Source organism: Homo sapiens, chromosome 1 (assembly GCF_000001405.40).
Source record: "Homo sapiens chromosome 1, GRCh38.p14 Primary Assembly".
Lineage (NCBI taxonomy): Eukaryota > Metazoa > Chordata > Mammalia > Primates > Hominidae > Homo > Homo sapiens.
The window spans coordinates 3988508-4006793 of record NC_000001.11 but is presented as its reverse complement, the minus strand read 5'-3'; the positions used below and the strand labels follow the sequence as shown (position 1 = coordinate 4006793).

Below are 18286 nucleotides of genomic sequence, written 5' to 3'. Positions count from 1 at the left end.
CTGAGGCAGAACCCCCAGCTAAGTCCCTCCTAGATTCTAGAGCTCAGAAACCATGAGAGACCATCAATGTCTGTTGCTCTAAACCAGGTAACCTGTGAGCAGCTGTAGATAATGAGTGCATCAGGGACCCAGGCAGAGCCAGGCAGGGCCCTTCTTGAAGATGACGAGGAACAGGAGCTGGAAGCTGCAGGGAAGCATCAGGCCACAGCGAGAGAGGCCAGGCAAAGGCCCACAGAGCCAGGCGAGGGACTGTCCAGGAGAGAGAGTCCTGAGGCCATCGCCTGGACCCATGAGTCCAGCCCTGCCTGGAGGGCCACCCCCAGAGCCCTTCAGGAACTCCCAACGGCACTAATTAGTTACACCCTCCTTTCCAATTCCATTTTGAAGTGGGGGTCTTGCAAGCGGGCAAGCCCTGGCTGAATCACTGGGTCTGTGAAGCTCTGCTCAGTACCCACACCCTACCCAGGGACCAGAGGTGGCCCCAGAGTCAGCACAGATGGGGCAGCCCTGTAGCCCAAGACCCTCTCTTTGGCCCCAGCAGGAGTTGGAAGAAGTATAGACTTCCCTGTGAGCTCCCGGCCCAGGGGCTGTGGGGTTGTGGGCTCTAGAGGGGCACTGCCTCCAGCCTCCCGTCATTGCAGAAAACAGGAGAAATTGCAGATGGCAGGCCAGGAGCGGTGGCTCACTCCTGTAATCCCAGCACTTTGGGAGGCCGAGGCAGGTGGATCACAAGGTAAGGAGATCGAGACCAGCCTGGCTAACACAGTGAAACTCTGTCTCTACTAAAAATACAAAAAAATTAGCCGGGCGTGGTGGCGGGCGCCTGTAGTCCCAGCTACTCGGGAGGCTGAGGCAGGAGAATGGCGTGAACCCGGGAGGCGGAGCTTGCAGTGAGCTGAGATCGCGCCACTGCACTCCAGCCTGGGCGACAGAGCGAGGCTCCATCTCAAAAAAAAAAAGAAAAAGAAAAAGAAAAAGAAATTGCAGAAGGCAGCGAGTGACCCATCAGCACAGGGCTCTGGGGCTCCCTTCAGAGGAGCTGCTCCAACAAGGTGGAGAAAAATGATGGGATGCCTGGGACTTCCTGTTGCATTTCCACATGGTCCACTTGGCCACAGCACAGGAGACAGCTCCCGGCTACCGGCATGGCCCTCACCCCTGCGTTACCAAGACCTCCAGGGGATGCAGACAGCCCCAGCTGAGCTGGGCAGGTGAGGCCTTTGCCCTGCCTTCTACATCCCCCTCCCTCATGCCCAGCCTGGACTCCTCTTGCTCTTCCTCTGAAATGGTCTCCTCCTGTTGCTGTAACCCAAACCCTATCGAAAAGGACTGCCACTCAGCAGTCACCCTACCTGTTCGTGTGCAGCAGGTCTCTCTGTAATGTGAATTATCCACACCTATTCAAATGTTTAATTCTGCAAATACATTGCAGAGGGAAGCGTGCTCCCCTCTCTCCTCCATTGTGGTATGTGGCAGCTCTTCTAGGACCTGTTCCCCGGGGTCCTGGCTGGCAGGGGATGTGTCTGTCTGCCCTGCACACACACAGGGAGGAACTTGTGTTGCTCCCGACCAACCTTCCGCGACGCACAGAGCCCCTTGTGTCCAAAACAGAGAAAGATGCCCAGCAGAAACTAAGGACACCGGCATTGGCAGCAACTGAGGTTTTAGTCTCCACTCTGGCACTTGTTAGCTGTGTGACTTGGAGTGGCTGATTTAGCCCCTCTGTGCCTGGGTTTCTGTCCCCTGGAAAGGAAGGAGGCTGCTGCTCCAGTTCCCGCAGGCTGCTGTGTGTTCAGTGGAAGAGCCCACCGTGAATGCTCCAAGGTGAACAAGTGAGCTAGCGCCCAGTGCCTGCCGTGAGCCCACCGCTCCCAGCCTGTGCAGTGCCCCTGGCCTGAGACAGGAAACCCGGTGCCCTTCCTATTTCCCTGAGGGACTCGCAGTACACAGGCTCCCAAGACGCAAGGTCATGTGGCCTGGGCTCTGCCTCTGGTGGCTTCAGGGCAGAGCATGAGCCCCAGACACTGGCCCCTTAGCCCCAGACATTCAAGGCATAGGAGCAGCCCATCCTGCCTGCACCCCGTCTTCGGCCTCAACACACCCTTGTTCTTCAGGCTTTGCTGGGAAGCCTCCTCCTCCTTCTGAGAAGACCTCCTCACCTCCCTTTTCCTTTTGAAGGTGAGAAGGGGAAGATTCCGGAACATCGTGTACTGCCTTGCTACATCCCTATCGTGATTAGCAGCTGGATATGGGGCAGCCAGAGAGCGTGAGGTTCAGGAAAGCAGAACTCAGTGGCTGGCACTGTGGAAGATGAGGGAATTGAGCTGGCACTAAGACGGGGCAGGCACGGGGCAGATAAGACCTAAGGCAGAGGGGGCAGGGAGGGACGTGGAACATTCCAGGCACACGGAGCAGGCAGGCCCCATTGGAGCAAGGATTTCATCTGAGAGGAGCACGAGGTTAAACAGCGAAGTCCGTGTGCGGCCAGTGCAGAAGGTGCTTGGCTGCCCATCCGAGGGCTGGGCTTGGAGCCCCTGCTGCCCGCCCTCAGGAGCCTGCAGTGATTCCGTGTCCCCCAAGACACTCAGACAGAGCGTGGAGTCCCAGTGACTTCAGACGACAAGTCTCCTGAGAGGCTGAAGCAGGGATGGACCAGCCTCACTCCCAGCCTTGCACAGATGAGGAAACTGAGGCCCAGCAAGGGGAACGACCCACACCCAGGCTCAGCCCAGGTACAACGCAATTCCGCGGCCTGGTTCCAGCCTCCTGGCCTGGCCTGCTATCAATAGCGTTGCTATTACCTGCTGATGGAAGGATAAATAGAATAGCAGATGTTTGTAATTATAAACTTCTTAAGACTTTTTTTTTTTTTTTGAGAGGGAGTCTTGCTGTGTCGCCCAGGCTGGAGTACAGTGGAGCCATCTTGGCTCGCTACAGGCTCAGCCTCTGAGATTTAAACGATTCTCATGCCTCAGCCTCCCGAGTAGCTGGGATTACAGGTGTGTGCCACCATGCCTGGCTAATTTTTTTGTACTTTTAGTAGGGATGGAGTTTTGCCATGTTGGGCAGGCTAGTCTTGAACTCCTGGCCTGAAGTGATCCACCCAACTCGGCCTCCCAAAGACTTTTTCTTGTAGAAATAAGGTCTCACTCCATTGCCCAGGCTGGTCTCAAACTCCTGGACTCAAGCCATCCTCCTGCCTTGGCCTCCCAAAGTGCTGGGATTGTAGGCGTAAGCCACCATGCCTGCCAGACTTTTTTTTTTTTTATGGACCATAACAAACTTCAGTGTTGTTTCATTCCTTAATGTGGCAACTTCAAAAGACAAAAGGAACTCTTTTTTTTTTTTAGACAGAGTCTTGCTCTGTCACCCAGGTTGGAGTGCAGTGGCATAATCTCGGCTCACTACAACCTCTGCCTCCCAGGCTCCCAGGTTCAAGCAATTCTCCTGCCTCAGCCTCCCAAGTAGCTAGGACTACCGATACATGCCACCACGCCCAGCTAATTTTTGTACTTTTGATAGAGACGTGGTTTCACCATATTGGTCAGGCTGTTCTCAAACTCCTGGCCTCAAGTGATCCACCCACCTCAGGCTCCCAAAGTGCTGGGATTACAGGCTTGAGCCACCATGCCCGGCTGAGACGCAAAGGAACGCTCTAATGTAGTTTCCTACTGCTGCTGCAACAAATCACTGGAAATTTAGCATCTTAAAACAACATGAAAGTATTGCCTCGTAGCTCTGGAGGTCAGAAGTCTGAAACAGGGCCCCCTCGCCTATAAGCAAGGGTCTGCAGGGCTGCGCTCCCTCTGCGGGCCCTGGGGGGATCTGTTCCTCGCCGTTTGCAGCTTCCAGCAGCCACTCTCATCCCCCGGCTCGGCCCTTCCTCCATCCGCAGTCAGGCCAGCACAGCATTTCTCTCACCTCCTCTCCTGCCTCCTCTTCCCCATGTGAGGACTTTTGTGATGACTCTGGGCCACCCAGATAATCCAGGGCCACCTCCTTATTTTCAGTTCAGTTCATGAGCAACCTAAACTCCATCTACGACCTTAGTCCCCCTCTGCCCTGCCAGGTGACATATCCACTGGCTCTGGGAATTGGGACGCAGACAACTTAGGGGGCCATTATTCTGCCCACCACAGTAACCAAACGTCTCAGCCTAGGAGGAATTTTTGGTTTCAGCTGAGTCCCCTTGCTCCTACCACAGCGATCACACAGAGTGACCCTGCTGGATCGGATGAGCAGTGGCACGGTCAGAGAGGCCAGGGCTAGCCATGCTCCAAGGGAACTGGTCCTTGTCATGGAAAAGGAAGCTGTGCCCCAGTGCCCATGGCCTGGCCTGGAGTCCAGAGGCACTGGTCCCCATGGCCGACTCCCCACATCCAGCAGCGAGCTCGAGGCCACAGAGCAGTTGCCTCTCAGGTGTCACCTTTCCTCACCCTGCCCCCAGGGGCACCCCTTCCTCACGCAGCACAACCTGGAACTACCTACTGCACAAGGAGGCCCCGACATCCCCCAGACGCATGTCCTGGGGGCTGCATACATGACATGGGTGAGGACCAGCTTTCTGCTGAGCGGGTCATGTAACACTTCGGTGAACGTGGGCTTTTGTGGTCAAGCGCTTTTGCAATGTAGCTGCCCTGGAGGTGCCAGCCCGTGCTTCTCAGGGTGTTCATGTTGGAAGGGAGAGGGAGGCTGTGGCAGTACGACCCGGGGTCTGGGGTGGTGGCAGGGAGGCTGTTTGGACAGGTGGTGGGGGGCAGCCAGGCTGAGTGAGATGAGGCTGTGATGGGTACAGTGCTGTGAGGTGGGCATGGGAGTTTCCCGTCTCAGCTGGCCTGAGCATGGTTGGATTTTCTAACTTTGGCCCTCAGGGAACACTCAGGTGCTGACCCAGAAGTAGTTGAATTTTCTTGAGGATAAGGCAGGTTAGATCATGGGTGTGCCACTGTCAAGAAAATACAGGGAGTAGTCTTCATTATTTCATCCTGAATCCCACTCCCTTCCACTCCTCACTCTAATCTTCAGGCGTGCCATGGGTAGTTGCCCAGGTGGAGCACTGCACAACTTTGGGGGCACCATCCACATAGATGACACTGAAAGCAGCGGCCCTGGCGGAGGCACTGTACCCATCAGAGTGCCCACTGGCGGCCCTGGTGGAGGCACTGTACCACATGACCAGAGAGTCATGTAACACGGAAGTGTTACATAAAAACCTGTAGACACTTCTGAAACGATGCTTTGCCCACGCTCCAGGTGAAGCAGCCTCTGTGCCAGCCCTTCCGGAATCCGCACTCAAAGGTTGAGCTTTGCGCACCATCCTAAAAAACTTTAGGGCCCAGGTTGGGGGACAGTATCAGGGAACAGATGGATTTTATCTATTTGACACTCCACATAGTAACATTTTGTTATCCAGGCCATGGAGACTGGGACTGAGACCAGTGGAGTCCCAGGGGAGGTGTTCCACCAGTGACAGTCGCGATGAACCCCCTGCATTCCCACCCCCGTCCTGTGTCTCTTTCCTCCACACTCAGCTCATGGATATCGAAAGCTTTCTCTGTTCACTGCCGCCCTGAGCCACACAGCAATGCCCTGTCGCTCCTGCACACGTGACCTTCGGAAGGCGCTGCCTCCCCAGCCAGCAGCTGGAGGTCTTCAAGCCAGCCACGAGGGCATGTGGAGTATGCAGTCACTGCTGCCTGCGGCAGCTGGGGCTTGTGCTGATTTGGTCAAATCCCCCAGGTACCTCCAGGACCCACGGAATCCACCAACTACACCAATGAAGAAGCTGCCCCAGTGAACGGCCCTTCACACGGCCTCTCGTCACTGAAGGCCACGGGGCATCTCCTGTGTGTCCAGCCCTCCTCTGTGCCCAGCGCTTGCTTAGTGGTCCCTATGTGACTGTCCTTGGGGAGGGCAAGACGTGAAAATGCACAACAAACCCTGAGCTGTAAGCGACTGAGCCCTTACCCCCGATGTGTTCAAGCCCCAGCAGAGCCAGAGAACCACGTGGCCCAAGGGTGTGAGTCTCCTACCCCTCTGCCACCTGCTCTTGGAAAGCAGTTAGTGACCAAGGGAAAAGGATTGGAATCAGGGGCCCCAGAGCACCCGAGCCAGTGCCCGGCACTCAATGGTCCTGGAGGTGGCCTTGGTCACTTCACCCCCAGAGCAGCCTGCAGAGGGTCCGGCCCCTCCACACAGGAAACATCTAAGTGGGGCTCTGGCTGTTTCAGGCCCCTGCCCCACAGAGCCAGCCCCGAGGACAGCCCTCAACCTACCCCAGCACGCCAAGACATGGGAAGAGAGAGGCTGGGACCCAATTAGGGAGACCTGTGCGTTTGACAGGGAAGGCTGTGGCCGGCGGGGAGGGCACTGTGGGCTGGTGCCCCCTGCCCCCCGGGTGTCAGACAGAGCAGGGTAGAAGCTGTTTTGGACTGTTTGTGGCCCCCCAAATTCATATGTTGAAATCCTAACCTCTAAAACGATGGTAATAGGAGGTGGGGACTTTGGGAAGTCATAGGTCATGAGGGTGGAGCCTCACGAATGGGATTAGGGCCCTTATAAAGAGGGCCCCCAGAGAGCGGCCTCTCCCTCTCTCCACCAAGTGAGAACGCAGCAAGAAGGCTGCACCGGGAAGGGTCCTCACCAGAACCTGGCCGCAGCCCCCTGGACTCAGAGCAGCTGCAGCCAACAGAGGCAGAGCCCGCACACGCTGCTCCCCAGAGGAGACCGGAGGGCCATGGGTGAAAGAAGGGACCACAAAGAAAACGTGATCCGTGCCCTTCCTTCCCTTTCATCTCAAAACCGCAAACATCTTCAGGCCTGAAGATTAAAGCCCCTGCCTGTGGACAACTCCAGGCCCGCCCCGTCGGCAGTGTGGCCCCTTCCTCTTTCTGTGACATGTCCTGCAACTCCAGGCCCGCCCCGTCAGCAGTGTGGCCCCTTCCTCTCTCTGTGACACGTCCTGCAACTCCAGGCCTGCCCCGTCGGCAGTGTGGCCCCCTCCCCTCTCTGTGGCGTATCCTGCAACTCCATGCCCACCCTGTCGGCAGTCCGGCCCCTTCCTCCCTCTGTGACATGTCCTGCAACTCCAGGCCCGCCCCGTCAGCAGTGTGGCCCCTTCCTCTCTCTGTGACACGTCCTGCAACTCCAGGCCTGCCCCGTCGGCAGTGTGGCCCCCTCCCCTCTCTGTGGCGTATCCTGCAACTCCATGCCCGCCCCGTCGGCAGTGTGGCCCCTCCCCTCTCTGTGGCACGTCCTTCTGGGCGGCTCTGGCTTCAGCCAGGGCCACAGGGCAACGCAGACTCAAGAGCGCTTGGTTGATTCATGGCGGTCACAGCCACTGCTGTGCCCCAGGAGCTCAGGGCCCTGCGCCCAAGTGCCTCCCAAGAACCACTGGGGGTCGGACGCAGTGGCTCACATCTATGATCCCAGCACTTCGGGAGGCCGAGGCAGGCAGATCACCTGAATTCAGGAGTTCGAGACCAGCCTGGCCAACATGGCGAAACCCTGTCTCTACTAAAAATACAAAAATCAGCCAGGTATGACGGTGTATGCCTGTGATGCCAGCTACTAGGAGGCTTAGGCAGGAGAATCACTTGAACCCGGGAGGCTGAGGCTACAGTGAGCCGATGGTGCCACTGCACTCCAGCCTGAGTGACAGAGTGAGTCTCTGTCTCAAAAATTTAAAAAATAAAATAAAATAAAATAAAAAATAAACAGAACTGCTGGGACCTGGGACCCCCCTCCCAGGCTCAGGCATGACCCCCTTGCCACCTGCTGTCTTGGCTCAAACCTCTCCCAGGGGCCACCCCTGACCACCCCCCACTTTCTAAACTGCACACTGCACTCCCATCCCCGGGGCTCCCCAGTTCCCTCTCCTCCCTCACAGCTGACAAAGTGTCATGAGCATCAGATGAACGAACACACACAGCACACACGTCACCCGCCTTGCGCACAGTGGCTGTTCAGCATGAGATTTAACTTTGAATATTCACAGAATTTCAGACACCGTCGATAGCAAAGCACTGCCTTATTTTATGAACCACTAAGAAAGAGAAAATGCTGCCAATTAAACTGACATGACGCTTTCTTATCACTCATAACTTTCATCTTACGCTTATTGAAGGAGCTCTTCTGGACTTAATTAGACATGGATTTGTACTGGCCATCACTTTGGCACACACAAAAAAGAAAGATATCAGCAAAATAAAATTTGTTAAGATATTTCTAAAATGTGTGCACATTAAGTCCAAATCTTCCAACTCCATTTCCCTCCGAGCCATCAAGCCCTGTGCTTGTCCTCATGCTGATGTCCTCTGAGCTGTCAGAAGCATCCAGGGTGCAGCTGATTCTCGAAGAACATGTAAAAGGATGAAGAGCCATAGCTGCAGGGCCCAGAAGCCTGCCTGGGGCTGATGGAGTCAGCCTGCTGCCTCCCGCTTAGGGGATTTCTGCGAAAGGCTGATTCTCAACATTCCGGCCACTTGGTCTCCTAGGGGCAAGCGTGCTCCGCCGTTGTCTTGAGAATTTTCTACCAGGCCACACCCATCTGCAAGCTTTGAGACTAAGGCTGTCTTGTTCAGGCAAAGGCAGGCCAGTGTGTTGTTCAGGCACAGACAGGCCCAGTGGTTGCACGGCTGGCCGCTATGGTGAGACGTCTTCAATTACAAGATATGTCCTGATTTTGGAGATGTCCAAGCATTAAAAACTGGGCCAGGCATGGTGGCTCACTCCTAGCACTGTGGGGGGTGGAGACAAGAGGATTGCTTAAGCCCAGGAGTGTGACATCAGCCTGGGCAGCATAGCAAGACCCCAACTCTACAAAAAATAAAAAATTAACCATGCGGTAGCAAATGCCTGTAGTCCCAGCTACTAGAGAGGTTGAAGTAGGAGGATTGCTTGAGACCAGGGAGTCGAGGCTGCAGTGAGCCGTGATCACACCACTGCACTGCGGCCTGGGAGACAGAGCGAGACCCTGTCTCACAAAAATAAAATAAATAAATAAAAACTGCATCCTCAACAGGCTGAGGCTGGAGGACACCACAGATTTAGGAGTTTGAGGCCAGCCTGGGTGACACAGCGAGACCCTCTCTAATTTTTTAAATAAAAAAAAAATTAAACAGATAATAGGCCATTGTGTTTTTACACACAAAGCCCCCAACCAGCCTCAAAGCATCCCTCTCCCTGGTGGTCACGACAAAGTGACTCAACTCATGCCCGGCTTCCTTTTCAATCCTGCATTGACTCCAGAGCCAATGCAGTCCCAGTTCTGCTATGACTCAGTGGCCTTGGCACTTCCAATTGCCTGCTGGGTGCCTCATCTGTGAATTGGGGCTGTAAACATAGCAGAGCCTCCCCCTCGGGGCTGTGATAAGAACTAAGGAAGTGACACTCTTAAAGCCCATTGAAGGCTGGGGCACACAGATGTGAGTGCTGGCCATACATGCACTCCATCCCATAGCATCCTTCCATAGGATCACAACTCCACCCCACACCATCACTCCATCGATAGAATCACTCCATCCCGCACCATCACTCCATCCCACATCATCACTCCATCCCGCACCATCACTACCTGCAGCAACATCGCTCCATGCCACAACATCGCTCCCTCCCACACCATTGCTCCATCCCAAACCATCGCTCAGTCCCGCTCCATTGCTTTGTCCCACACCATGGCTCCATGCCGTGCCATCACTCCATCCTACACCATCGCTGTGTCCCAAATCTAGGGTGGGGCCCAGGAACGTGCATGACAGTCAAGGGCCCTAGGGGGTTCCATCAGGACCTGGACCCCACGTGACTTCAAGACTGTAGTGGGCTGAATGGCAATCCCAAGAAAAGATATATCCACATGCTTACCCCCAGAACCTGTGCACAGGGCCTTATTTGGGGAACAGGTCATTGCCGATGTGATCTGGTGAAGGATCTCCAGATGAGATTTATCCAGGATTATCCAGATGGACTCTGACTGCAATAACAAGTGTCCTTAGGAGACAAAAGAGAAGAGGACAGAGGTGGAGGCAGGGATTGGGGCTACGCAACCATAAAGCAAGAAAGCCCAGAGCCACCAAGAGCTGAAAGACAAGGATGCCTCCACCCCACAAGCCTCAGAGGGAGTACGGCCCTGCAGACACCTTGATTTCAGACTCCTGGCCCCTAGAACAGAGGGAGAATGAATTTCTATTCTTTTAGGGCACGCAGTTTGCAGTCATTTGTTACAGCAGCGGGAAATGCAGATGCTGGCCTGCCAAGGAGGCAGTCGCCCAGGGCCACTGAGAGCAGGCACAGAGAGATGCCTGCTCCCAAATGCCAGCTCGATCACCAGCTGTCCCTAAGGAGGCATCCTTGACATTAAGACCCCAGTTCCAGCTCCACCGCAGACCTTGACTCTGACCACTTCATCCACCTCCATGGCCGCTATTGTCTCTCCCCAGAAGTCCTACTTTGGAGGAGAAAGCTTTGGCATGCAAGGATGGGGAATGGATGATAACTCTGCGTCTCTTTATAAAACTGAGTTAGAGGATGAGGGGGAGATGCAGGCAGGGACCCCAGCTCCCTCGGGTGGAAGCAGGAGTTACAAGGTCTTCGAGTCACTTCCTAGTGGCAAGCTGGTGCCAGGTGACCAGAGAGACGGGCCAGGCACAAACTTCAGCACAATCCAAGAAGGCGCGCCTGAACAACTTGGTAGTCAGAAAGTTCTAGAAAGAACCTGTTTTTATTGTCTGGTGTCTCTAAGTCTTACATCGTTTTTAAAAAGATAGTTTTGTTTTGAATTGCCCACCATCCTCTTTTCCACATGGGGCCTCTCAAGGATGTATCTGGCCCTCCACAGCCTGCTTCCCCCAGTAGCTGGGCAGGAGAAAATGACAATTCTGGGTTCCTGCCCTGTCCCTGAGCATCCCCCTGAGCTTTGTGAGCTCCACACTCACCATCCAAGACCAGCCTCAGTCTCCTTCCATACCTGTGCCTGCTGGAAGGAGAAGACGGTGTCCATGCTCCTCGGCTCCCTGGAAGGAGCAGAGGGTGAGAGCCAGCGGAGGTTGGGAGTCCATCAGCCTCCTCTGAGCCAGCCTCAGGGGTACAGGGACCGCCCAACTTACCCGGACCACCCCACAGGGTGGCAGTGGCCCCACAGTGGTCCTGCAGGCTCCTGAAGACACACACATGAAGTCCGAGGGTCAGAAGGACCCCGAGTAGTCCGGCCTCTGCAGAGGTTGACAGCCAATGGAGACCGGGGGTCCATTGGCCTCCTCCGAGCCAGCCTCATGGGGACAGGAATCACTGACTTACCCCAATCACCCCACGGTGTGACAGTGACCTCACAGTGGCCCTGTAGGCTCCCGCAGACACACACATGAGGTCCGAGGATCGGAAGGACCCTGAAGAGTCTGGCCTCTGCAGCAGCTACCCAGAGTTCAGGACATGACTGTCCTGTCTCACTCGCTGCTATGGCTGCAAACTGAGCCATGCCTGTACCTTCAAGAGGTCAAAGCCGACCTGAGAGCCCCTTGAGAATCAGGCACATGACTGGCCCAGGTGCCCACAGCAAGGTGCTGGCCTCACCAGGACTGCACACTCAAAGCCAGGGCCATGCAGCCCTACTCAAAAAGCCCCCAGGAGAACCACTTTCTGCTTGGTGGCACCATACCTGGTCCTCCCCCTCATCCCTTCTTGTCTTTTCAGGAGAGAGAAGCCAGGAACAAAGGCAGCCTGGGAGGCCTCGTCCTTGGCTGGTGGAGCAGAGAACGTCTACATGGCCGGGGCTGCCCTAACGAAAGACCACAAAGCCACCAGGCTTGCAACAGTGGACATTTACTATCTCACAGCTCAAGTGGCCACAAATTTGAACTGAAGCTGGGCAGGGCTGGTTCCTTCTGGATGCTCTGAGGGAAAACCTATCTCTCCCCAACTTCTGGGGCCCCAGCCATCCCTGGTGTTCTGTGACTGATAGATCCATCACCTGGTCTCTGCCTCCACCCTTGTGTGGCCTCCTCTGGGTACCTGTGTCTGTTTTCTCTTCTTATAATGACCCCATAGCCAGGCCTGGTGGCATGTGCCTGCGATCCCAGCAACTCAGGAGGCTGAGGTGGGTGCTTGAGCCCAGGAGGCCAGCCCGGACAACATAGTAAGATCCTACCTATTTTTAAAAATTAAAAGAAAAAAAGATATCCGTCGTTGGATTTAAGGCCCATCCTAGTCTGATATGACCTCGTCTTAACTAATGACATCTGCAAAGACCCTATTTGCAAGAAAGGTCCTGTTCTGATGTTCCCGGTGGACATGGATTTGGGAGAACACTCTCAACCCACTGTAGGAAGGGGTCAGCAAGGTCCCCACCTTGCTGGGCTTGGGGCTGGAGGGCTTCCTGTTGTGCCCATAGCTAGCGTTTCTGCGGCCACATCCCCAGCCTCAGTGCATCTGCTTCCACCATCTGCAAAATTAAGGCCAACAATACTTGTTTTGGGGAGTCATGAGGAAGATAAGGGGGGTTATGTGTGAAAGGGTTTGGCACAGGCCTGGTGTGGAACAGAGGCGTCAGTGCGGAGATGAAGCGTCCCCAACAGCGAGGCCCCACCTGGGAGGAAAAGGCGGGGCTGCCTCCTGGACGCAGGTTCCCTCTCTGGGAGCTCAGAGGGCTCAGGGAGAGATTAAGCATATTATGTAGATGCACTTGCGTGTTTGCAAATCTCTTCCCAACGAGGGATTTGATTCTTCAAGTGCCTGATAAGATGTTTGAGCAAACTCCGCTATTGTCCTGATCATCATTGTGATGTTGCAGTTGGCGTTGCGTGGGCGTAACGAAAGGGATCTATTTTCCTGGCTAATAAGGTTTATTTTTACTCTAGCTGAATAATAGATGATCAGTGTCAAAATAAATTACAATCCTTCCGTTATAAGCCACTCTCCTGCCCTACATACATGCCGAAGCTGCCTTCCCGTTCCTCCAGGCTGCCGTCCCTTCCCCGGCTCCCAGGAAGGCACCCTTCCCTCCCCGCCACCGCCTGCCATTCATCCTCTCCAAGTTAGAACGGAATATAAATTGGGCGCCTCGGGGACCTGCAAAACTTGAGAGTATGTTATGTTAGGAATTGGCTTTGTGGCCATAAATTATGTAACAGCTCCCCGATCCCAAACCAAGCTGGTATTTTCACTATGGTGTAAATAAAAACGTTAAATGGTTTTTCTAAGTGTTTGATTTTTCATCTGTGGTTTATTCACCTACTAAATTTCTGTAAAGGCCCATTTATTCAGCTTTGGGGAAAATACATTAAGCAGTTGTCCACTTGGCAGCAATGGTGAGAAGCCTCCCAGACAGGGAGGGCCTCCCAGGTCGCCTCCGCTGGCTGACAGCTGGCCGCGCTCCTAAGCCTCTCAGCCTCAGTTTCCCCACGTATAGAATGGAGAGCAAAATTGTCATTTTCCAAAGGGCTACTTTCCAAGTTGAAAACAAGGAAACAGGAGCAGCAGAGGAATCGCCTGTTGCTGCAATGCCTGATGTTTAGGAAGAGTCAGTACAGGTAACAATGATGCCTTCTGGACCACGGCACCAGGGAGTCACATAACTCCAGTTAGAATATGGTACTGACAAATACACTAGGTGCTGACCAAAAAGAAAAAGCACTCCATTTGGTAGCACAAAGGAGGTTTCCTTTAAGACCCAGAGAGTACTTTGCCCAGAAACTCCTTTGTCCGACACTCAAGGCCTCCAGGAGTCCTGACACCCACCTGGCGTCCCACCAGCTATGCACCTCCCAAGTGTCTGCAGCCAACCTCCAGCCTAAATGCACCCCAGCACGCTCATCCCAGCCCCTGCCTGCTCAAAGCTGAGGCTGAAGGCAGATAGGTCTGGGTCCAGGTCTGGGCCCCGAAACTTACAGCTTTCCAGCTCTCCACTTTGTTTCACTGGAAGGAAAGGGAGCACAGAAAGGGCCTGGCTCTGGGGCTGCGGCAGGACTCAGTGCAGCATCCCCCACCACCACCCCAGGTCCCACCTGCCCGGCCCTACCCTCAGTCCCTATGGAGTTGCTGTAGCTGGGACTGGGCACAGCCTGCTGGCAAGCCATGCTGAGGCGAGAGCCCACCTTCCCCTCCTGGAGTCTCCTGCCACAGCTCAGTATCCCACAGTCATGAGGCGTTCAGTGGCTGCACACAGGTGTCACCACTATCCCGCCTCCACCAACGACATATCCTTCACCAACAACATCACCTCCCCAACAACTTCACCTCCCCAATGGCTTACCCCCATGACATCATCTCCCTAATAACATTACTTCCTTATGGCATCACCACTGCCACAACATTGTCTCCCCCATGGCATCACTTCCCCATCACATCACCTCTGCATGACATCACCTCCCAATGGCATCACCTCTCCCATGACATCACCTCTCCCAGGAAATCACCTCCCAATGACATCCCCTCCGCATGACTTCACGTCCCCATGCATCACCTCCCCATGACATCACCTCTCCATGACATCACCCCTCCATGACATCACCTCTCCATGACATCACCTCTCCATGACATCACCTCTCCCATGACATCATCTCCCCTTTGACATCACCCCTATGACATCACCTCCCCATGACATCACCTCTCTATGGCATCACCTCCCCCATGACATCACCTCTCTATGGCATCACCTCCCCATGACATCACCTCACCATGCCATCACCCCTCCATGACACCCCTTCCCCATAACATCCCCTCCCCATGGCATCCCCTCCCAATGGCATCACCTCCCCATGATATCACCTCTCTATGACATCGCTTCCCCATCACGTCCCCTCCCCATGGCATCACTTCCCCAACACATCCCCTCCCCATGCCATCACCTCACCCATGGCATCACCTCACCCATGATATCATCTCCCCCATGACATCACCTCTCCCCAAAGCATCACTGCAAGACACCAGCCTCTTCAGGAAATAATATGAAGGTAAACTTTGTTAAGAATCCTTGTTTTTCAGCTGGGCACAGTAGCTCACACCTGTACTCCTAGCACTTTGGGAGGCCAAGGCAGGCAGATCACTTGAGGCCAGGAGTTCAAGATCAGCCAGGCCAACATGCCAAAATCCCATCTCTAGTAAAAATACAAAAAAAAAAAAGCTGGTTATGGTGGCACATGCCTGTAACCCCAGCTACTCGGGAGGCTGAGGCTAGAGAATCACTTGAACCTTGGAGGCAGAGGTTGCAGTGAGCCAAGATGGCACTGCTGCACTCCAGCCTGGGTTTTTGAGAGAGCAAGACTCTCTCTCTCAAAAAAAAAAAAAAAGAATCCTTGTTTTTCAACAGTTAAGCCAAGAGCCAAATCAGGAATGCAATCTTATTCACAATTGCCACAAAAAGAATAAGATATCTAGGAATACAGCTAACTAAGGAGGTGGAAGATCTCTATAAGGAGAACTACAAATCACTGCTTAGAGAAATCAGAAATGACACAAACAAATGTAAAAATACTCCATGCTCATGGATAGGAAGGATCAATATCATTAAAGCAATGTATTCAACAGTATTCCTGTCAACCTACCAATGACATTCTTCACAAAACTAAGAAAAAACTATTTTAAAATTCATATGGAACCAAAAAGGAGCCCAAATAGCCATGGCAATACTAAGCAAAAAGAACAAAGCTAAAGGCATCACACTATCTGACTTAAAACTATACTACAGGACTACAGTAACCAAAACAGCATGACACTGATACAAAAACAGACACCTAGATCAATGGAATGGAATAGAGAGCCCAGAAATAAGGCCACACACCTATAACCATCTGATCTTTGACAAAGCTGTCAAAAACAAGCAATGGGGAAAGGACTTCCCATTCAATAAATGGTGCTTGGATAACTGCCTAGCCATGTGCAGAAGACTGAAACTAGACCCCTTTATTATACTGTACAAAAAAAGTCAACTCAAGATGGATTAAGGACTTAAATGTAAGACCTAAAACTATAAAAACGATGCAAGACAACCTAGGCAATACCATTCTGGACATAGCAATGGGCAAAGATTTTGTGACAAAGATGACAAAAGCAATGGCAGCAAAAGCAAAAATTGACAAATGGAGTCTAATTAAACTAAAGGGCTTCTGCACAGCAAAAGAAACTACCAATAGAGTAAGCAGACAATCTACAGAATAGGAGAACATTTCTATAAACTGCATCTGACAAAGGTTTAATATCCAGCATATAAAAGGAACTTAAACAGTTTTACAAGAAAAAAACAACCCTATTGAAAAGGTGGCAAAGAACATGAATAGACACTTTTCAAAAGAAGACTTACATGTGGCCAATAAACATATGAAAAATAGCTCAACCTCACTGATCATTAGGGAAATGCAAATCAAAACCAAAATGATATACTATCTCACACCAGTCAGAATGGCTGTTATGAAAAACTCAAAATATAACAGATGCTGGTGAGGTTGCAGAGAAAGAGGAATGCTTATACATTGTTGGTGGGAGTGTAAATCAGTTCAACCATTGTGGAAAGCAGTGTGGTGATTCCTCAAAGAGCTAAAAACAGAACTACCATTTGACCCGGAAATCCCATTACTGGGTGTATTAGTCCGTTTTCACACTGCTAATAAAGACATACCCAAGGCTGGGTAATTTATAACGGAAAGAGGTTTAATTGACTCACAGTTCAGCATGGCTGGGGAGGCCTCAGGAAACTACAGTCATGGCAGAAGGGGAAGCAAACACGTCATTCACATGGCAGCAGAAAGAAAATGGTGCTGAGCCAAAAGGGGAAAAGTCCCTTATAAAACCATCAGATCTCATGAGAACTCACTCACTATCATGAGAACAGGATGGGAGAAACCGCCCCCATGATTCAATTATCTCCACCTGATCCCTCCTATGACACGTGGGGATTATGGGAACTACAATTCAAGATGAGATTTGGATGGGGACACAGCTCAACCATATCACTGGGTACATACCCAAAGGAATATAAGTCATTCTATTATAAAGACACATGCACGCATATGTTCATTGTAGCAGTATTTAGAATAGCAAAGACACGGAATCAACCCAAGTGCCCATCAATGATGGACTGGATAAAGAAAATACATTAAATATACACCATGGAATACTATGCAGCCATAAAAAAGCATGAAATCATGTCTTTTGCAGGAACATGGGTGGAGCTGGAGGCCACTATCCTTAGCAAACTAACACAGAAACAAAAAACCACTGGTTCTCACTTGTAAGTAGGAGCTAAATGATGAGAGCACATGGACACACAGAAGGGAACAACACATGCTGGGGCCTTTCAGAGGGTGGAAGGTGGGAGAAGGGAGAGGATCAGGAAAAATAATGGATGGGTACTAGACTTAATCACTGGGTGACTACATAATCTGTACAACAAACCCCCATGACATCAGTTTATCTAAGTAACAAACCTGCACATGCACCCTGAACTTAAAGTACAGGTTTTTATTTCCAAGGCAAATGTAAACAAGCTTTCTATAAGATGCATTATAATCAGGTTATTTTAGTGAATGGCAGCATATGACAGAGAAACACTGAGAATGTATCATTGGAGCATGCTTCTTCCTTTATGGACTCAAAACGCACAGGTGCACATAAGCAGGTATAAAGGTAAATGTAAGCGTGCTTTTTAAATGATTTATTGTAAGCTGTTTTCTTTTCATGAATTAAACTCTTTGACACACACAAAAAAACATGCTGTTTTTGGCCAGGCGGGGTGGCTCACGTCTGTAATCCCAGCATTTTGGGAGGCTGAGGCGGGCAGATCACAAGGTCAGGAGTTCGAGACCAGCCTAGCCAACATGGTGAAACCCCATCTCTATTAAAAATACAAAAATTAGCCAGGTGTGATGGTGCATGTCTGTAATCCTAGCTACTTGGGAGGCTGAGCCAGGAGAATCGCTTGAACCCGGGAGGGGGAAGTTGCAGTGATCTGAGATCGCACCACTGCACTCCAGCAGGGGCAACAAGAACGAAACTCCATCTCAAAAAAAAAAAATGCTTGTTTTTGACAATGTGTCATTTTTTACATTTGTATCCAACATCCTTCTGAGGTCCATGCCATCCCCATCTTATGAGTGGGAAACCGCACCTCACAGGAAGGGCATCATTGGGCCAAGGTTCCGGGCAAGTAGGTGAAGGTGCCACGACACTACATGCTCCAGGGTGGTACCTTCTCTTGCCCCATCCCTGGCTCCTTCTCCCAGGAGAGCTCAGGGCAAAAAGCAGGCTGAGGTTGGTACCACGGGGACCCTCCGCAGGTACGTGATGGCTGATGGGTGGTGTT

The 18286-nt window shown here is 52.4% G+C and overlaps 1 long non-coding RNA gene across 4 annotated transcripts in view; it reads right to left on the bottom strand.

Annotated features, from left to right (window-relative positions):
• LINC02780 (long intergenic non-protein coding RNA 2780) overlaps positions 1–18286 on the bottom strand; it is a 36615-nt gene that overhangs the window by 5911 nt on the left and 12418 nt on the right. Inside the window, exons 3-5 of one of the 4 annotated variants that reach the window (NR_186589.1) lie at positions 10932–11009; positions 9862–9987; positions 8011–8738 (exon numbers count right to left, since the gene is read on the bottom strand). The exons of the other annotated variants lie outside the window; for them this stretch is intronic. This is a non-coding gene — a long non-coding RNA (long intergenic non-protein coding RNA 2780). Of the gene's footprint in view, positions 1–8010; positions 8739–9861; positions 9988–10931; positions 11010–18286 lie in introns of those variants that run through there. 4 annotated transcript variants of the gene reach the window in all.